Source organism: Homo sapiens, chromosome Y (assembly GCF_000001405.40).
Source record: "Homo sapiens chromosome Y, GRCh38.p14 Primary Assembly".
Classification (NCBI taxonomy): domain Eukaryota; kingdom Metazoa; phylum Chordata; class Mammalia; order Primates; family Hominidae; genus Homo; species Homo sapiens.
The window spans coordinates 3,773,043-3,779,763 of NC_000024.10; the positions used below are offsets into that span (position 1 = coordinate 3,773,043).

At 36.1% G+C, this 6,721-nt stretch overlaps 1 pseudogene; it reads right to left on the bottom strand.

Moving 5' to 3' along the window:
• On the bottom strand, positions 5,495 to 6,500 carry RNF19BPY (ring finger protein 19B pseudogene Y-linked; annotated as a pseudogene).

Below are 6,721 nucleotides of genomic sequence, written 5' to 3' on the forward strand. Positions count from 1 at the left end.
CCTTTCCTCTCTTTCTTTCTTTCTTTCTTTCTTTCTTTCTTTCTTTCTTTCTTTCTTTCTTTTTCTTTCTTTCTTTTTCTTTCTTTCTACAGGGTCTCACTCTGTCACCCAAGCTAGAGTGCAGTGCTGAGATCATAGCTCACTGCAGCATTAAACTCTGGGCTCAAGCAGTCCTACTGCCTCAGTCTCTTGAGTAGCTGGGACTACAGACACGCAGAACCATGCCTGGTTAATTTTTTTTTTTCATTTTTATTTTTGTAGAAATGGGGTATTGCTAGGTTACCCAGGCTAGTCTGAAATTCCTGACCTCAAACGATCTTTGTGCCTTGGCTTTCCAATGTGCTGGGATTACAGACATGAGCCACCAAGCTCAGCTCAAACCTTTATTTCTGAAGGGTCGGAGCCATTCGTAGTCCTGCTTGAATTGGGTTGTTGTAATTTCCCATTGACCTTAATCACAGGACATACTAATACTAAGAGGTGCCCTAAGGGATCTACTGTTTTCCAAACATACTCTCCCTCACTTCTCTTCTGGAGTAGTAGTCCAATCTTATTCTTGGTAGTTTGAATTAATCACTACAGCCAACACCATTACTCCCCTGTAAGCCTGTTGATTTAGATGCATGAGGAGCCCAAAGTGGCCAGGTGGCAGTTTTAACTTCCAGTTTGGTAGAATTACTGTTGTCTCCCATGGTGGAGGCATTCCTTCCTCTGAAACAAAGACCTCTGTGCTAGCAGAGCATAAAGTCACAGAAATAATACAAAATTTTTTTTTTCTAGTGGGTTACTAGGATGAATGATGGTGGTGCCATTCTATTTCCACTCCTTGATTCCTGGACCTGTGAATTCTGGCAATTGGGGGAAACAGTACCATATAGTGAACTTTTATTCAGAACATGTAAAGCCTTCTAGAAGACCTTGCCCAGTCCTGCAAAATATTGCCACCTATCTGGTGCTGTAACTGTGCCTTCAAAAGGCCATTTTATAGTCTTATCAAGACAACTGCTTCAGGATGATGGGGAGCATGGTAAATCCAGTGCATTTTATGAATATAAGTCAATTACCACACTTCTTTGTGAAGTGAATTACTTTTAAGAAGCAATGCTGTGTGGAATACTATAATGATGGATAAGGCATTCTGTAAGTCCACAAGTGGTAGTTTTGTCAAAGCATTGAATGAGGGAAGGTAAATTTATATCCAAATTAAGTGTCTATTCCAGTAAGGACAAAACGTTGTCTCTTCCATGATGAAAGTTGTCCAATGTAATCAACCTGCCACCAGGTAGCTGGCTTAATACTCTGGGCAATGGTGCTACACTGGGGGCTCAGTGTTGGTCTCTGCTGCAGATAGATTGGACACTAGGTGATGACCATAGCCAGGTCAGCCCTGATGATTTTAACTCTATATTGTTGGGCCCAGGCATAACCTCCATCTCAGCTAACATGCTGACTTTGTTCATAAGCCCATTGGACAATGGCAGTTGGTTAAAGAAAAAGGCTGATTGGATTTCACAGAATAGGTCATTCTATCAATTTGATTATTCAATTCTTCCTCTGCTGAGGTCACCTTTTGGTGAGCATTTACATGGGACACAATTACCTTTAAGTTCTTTGCCCACTCGGAAAGGTCTACCTTTTCCCAAAATTTCTTTGTCACCAATTTTCCATTCGTATTTCTTCCAAGTCCCTGATCATTCAACCAGACTATCTGAGTTCCCCTTTCAGCAGAAGATGGATGTGCTCACTGCCTCCTGAAGCATTTAGAATAACTAATGCTTTGCCAGATATTTGGGGAATCTTTAATTCAGTCAACTTAACACCGAAAATCAACTACCATTGTATTTGTTGATTCGTTTCTCATTCAAGTTATGAATGCTCTGGTTCTAAGTAAAATAAATGTTTTTTAATTGTAGTATGGACATTTGAGATCTTATATTAGGGGATTCTGGATCTTATTTAAATGTCCTATTTTGGCAGGCAATTATCCTGTTCAAGTTTAGACCAAAGGTCTTCTCTCACTTTTGTAAGCTGTTATTCCAAAGGCACTTTCTTTTTCAGAGCCCTTGAGTTAATATTTAAATCTGCTTCATAAACGTGCTACTCAAAGTCCATGGAAATTATGGATGGAATCTTACATTGTAGTTTGGTTTTCAACCTTTTGGTGTGTTAAATCTAGTCAGTTTCACTTTTTTTTTTTTTTAAATGTTTGTCCAGAACTTCCGATGCTGGTTGTTTGATAATAATGTCTGGTATTTGCTTCAAAATAAAAGGGTGGCCATTATATGAGAAATAAAATTGACCAGGAACTGATAATTGTTGAGGATGAAGAATAAATATGTTGATGTCTATAAGAGTATCCCAATTTTGTATATGTTTGACCTTTCCATATGAAAATGTTAAAAAGGTAATTATATTGAAATTGTCTTAATAGTTAAATAGTCTATTTGTTTAAATTACAGAATAATACAGGGTTACATATTAAGAATGTTTAATTATTGATTCTCCTAAAATTAGTTTTCTAGAATTAAAATTTCCTTTGGATAACAAAATAACAATTAACTTCTATCATCTTACAAAATACAATTGTTTAACATCTTCATAGATATTTCTTAACATTTACGTAGAAACTTGAACTAGAAAATATATGAATTTGAATAAACAACTTATAATAAAGAATTTGAGCATATAATACTATCTTATATACAGTAGATTATCATTTATTTCAAATATTTGCTAGGATTACTTTTCCAAATATCATCCACATATAGATAAAATGTACTTTTCACCAGTAATAAATAAGGCACACCTATTTGTTCTGTCACATTAAGGAATTAATATGTTCTCATTAATAATGTAATAACAAAATTCGTGATATTTGCATATGGTAGACTGATAGCAAAAATTTCCCATACATTCCTCTATCCATGTCTTTTGAAATTTGACTTTGCAGTTTTCCCTGTCAAGGGATATAGTCTATCTCCCCGAGCCTTGCATATCAACTGGCCTTGTGACTTATTTGCAGAACAGAATGCAATAGAAGGAACTTGGGTAAATTCTAAACCTAGGACTCAACAGTCGTTCCCTGTTTCCTCTATCTTGAAACTCTGCCACCCTGAGGACAAGCCCAGGCTAGCCTGCTGGAGGGTGATTGATTATATAAAGGAAACTCAGTATAGCAGAGCCGACATCCTGAAGACTTCTGTGGGAGCAGATGCCTAGCTGAAACACAGCTGACAAGAGAGTCATGAAAAAGTCAAAAGGATCACCTGCTAAGTCCATTTTAAAATCATGATCTACAGAAAGGTGAGTTAAATAAATTGTTAATTTTGGCTATTGAGTGTAGAAGTAGTTGTTGTGCAATGATGTTTAACTGATGAAATATCCAAAAATTATAAAGGCTTAAGAATTTCTCTAAAATTTACTTCTTATATTTGATTACTCAAAGCCATGAATGTTAATAAAATCTTTAATACTAATACAAGTAATTGTTTATATTTTTCAAACTTAACCATATTTTGGTGAGCTTCTACAAAATAAAATATATATAAAATTACTACCAAAATGAAAGAAAAAGAGGTACGAAAAGAGAAAAAAATTATTAATTTCTTTTGACTACTCAAGTAAATTACCATACACTTAGCAGCTTAAAACCATACAGTCTCACCAGCCTAACATCAAGATACTAGCAAGGCTGTGTACCTTGCCAGCTGCCAGCCAGGGGTTGTTCTCAACTTATACAGTCCACCCACATTCCTTGAATAATGGACCCCTTCATCTTCAAAGTCTGCAGTGGTGTATAGAATTCTTCTTATGCTTCATCTCTCCTGACTTCCTGTATTAACTCTCACTCCTCAACCAGAAGGGTTTTCCATTTTTAAGGACCCTTGTGATTACATTAGCCCACTGAAATATTCTAATATCCCATCTCAAACTTCTTAACTTAATCACTTTGCGAGATCATGTTTTGCTATGTAAGGTAACATATTCACACATTTCAGGACTACAAGAATGTGTAGTACACTTTCAAGAACATCTTGAGGGCAGGCATTATTTTGCTTACCACAGAACCTAAATTAATATTTATTAAGCATCAACTTTGTACAGGGCATTGTGCCACATGTGTTCATCCATTATCTCTTATACATTTTACAACAAACTTGCGAAGTACATATTATTATCTGTACTTTTAAAGAGGATGAAAATTAGATCTATTAAAGTAAGCAACTTGTCTAAGTTCACAAAGTTACTATCAAGTCATGGTTTGGATTAGTTGTTTCTGTGAATTTGAAGCTATACAGCACGCTTTCAAAAAAGCAAAAGGAACAAATATTGATTATTAGATAAAATGAACAAAAGGTAGAGAAAACGAGAGTCAAAAATAAAGGAGAGAGTAAATAGAGAAGAAAACAAAGTGGATAAATCTGTTTGGGTATTTATATAGTCCGAAAGCAGGATAGTTCTGATAGGTGAGAGGTGGAAAAGCCTGATTAGTGTAGATGAATCCCCTTGAGAGCAATATTCATGCACAATAATTTCTTCACTGCAGTGATTTTTGTTTATTTTATTGCAAATATATTTTTTCTTACTATTTTTATTCTTCAATGCAAGCCTCTAATTTTGAAAGAAGTGCTTTTCTTCAGCAACGAAGGTAGTAGAGGAGTGATTTCCTTACTTTTTCAACAAATTTTATAAGGTTACACTGTCGTGAAGCACAAGTTAATAAAGCCTAAGGACACACTGTTGCATTTCTTTTAAAATAATGGAAAATTATTAAATTTTTTAAGGCATGTTTTGTTTGAATGTCTTGTGTTGGTTAGATAACTGTACATCACTAAAGTAGAACAGTACTTTTAAGAAGCAATTTCTGTTTAGGAGTAGAAGTTGAAAGCGGTATATTAATCTGATGAGCTTAAGCAGCAAAATAGACCTCATACATAAGAATATGAGCTGATTTACTGTAAGGGACATGACTAATCCAGGGTCCATCTGTAGGGCTTCCACTGGTGCTGAATACACTAGTCAGGCCTTCATTGCTGCTTTCCCCAGTGCTTGGACCCTTGAGGGCTTCCCAGGCATCTGACATTGTGATTGGAAAATAATCTTCATTTGATTGAATTTTCCTTCCCTTTTGGTCAACTGTGCTAACACCACAGCAGCCTCCATGAGAGAGACAAATTAGCCAGTCACATTAACATATGCCAGCATAATTGGGATGCCAAAAGCAATACTAACTGCAGTAATAACTGAGGATGCAATCACTGACAAAGTCATTCCTCCTGTGATAGCCAAATTTCTCTTGTGTTGGAGGTTTGCTTTCCTTTATCCATGCAGTGAATCTTCCTGTCAACATAAACAGGAATGCTGATGACCATTTCAGGAATAGCAGTGGTAGCAATGAAAGATATCCCCACTGGAGCTCCAATTAATGCACACAGCTGCCAAGTAATTTTCTTACAGCTTCTTGCCCCAGAATCTGAAGCCAGAAGGTTTTTGAAAATATGGCAGAAATCTTTATTAAAATGTTTCCTTCAGTAATATGTTACCACGTACATAATATACACACATACCTATGTACATTCTTTGACATACCTCAAAGATTGCTACCATTAGTTTAACCAATAAATTAAAACTAAAAAAAAAAATAGGAAGGGGAGAAAGGAGAGGGAATCAGGGCAAAATTTTGATGTTTTATCTAGTAAGAAATTGCAAATATCTCAGAATTTCTCTGAGGGAAACCTATAAGCAGAGAATCTTTAAGATAAAATACATAAATTTTCACTCATCTCACCAAAAAAAAAAAAAAAGATTTGAAAGATGCCGTCACAACAATTGTGCTTCTCAGAACATTTATTCAATTTCAAATTCTGGCTTCGGCACCTTTTGTCTTTAAGACAGACTGCCCCTCGGCTGGGACAGAGAAGTTCATATGGACACCTGGGCCCAGTGCACCCTTGGGCTCTAGAGGTCAAGGGGGAAATCTGCAATATGATAGTGAGGGAAGTCATAGTCATCTGAAGTGATGTCTAGCACATCATCTCACTGCATATCATCACTCTCCAAACCACTGTGGATCATCTTGGGTTAGGCCAAGCTGATGTATGAAAGTTTGACGACCAGATAGTCTTTCTGTTCACAGCTTTGGTGTTTGTAGAAAAGTCCTCTTCACTGCCTCCATCTCCACCACTACTGCTATATTCTTCATTCTCTGTCATCTGAGCATGAATGTGGAATGAATCCTTTACGCTTCTTTCACTCACCAGCTGACAGTAGCTTGGTTTGGCATCACTCAGATTTCCATATTGTTGCATTCCATGTCCTGATTATGAAAACAGTCATAGCAAAAGTGCTTGGGCTGTCATTGATTCCATCAAGGTTGATTGTGTCTTTGAAGACAATTTCATTTTGGATATTGACTTGGACTTCTATCCTGCTGCATTTTCCCTAGATACTGTAAAGAATCTCACCATTTAGTATGCTCCATGGGAGAGTTGTGAAGATGGTTGTATAATAAAAAATAATGATATTATGTAATGATAAAGGAATCAACTCATCAAAAGAATATAACAATTGTAAATATATATGCACTCCAACTTTGGAACACCTAAATATATAAAGTAAATATTAATAAACATGAAGAGAGAGATAGACTATAGTATAGTAATAACAGGGAATATCAATACCCCATTTTCAACAAGGAACAGATCACAGACAGAAATCAATA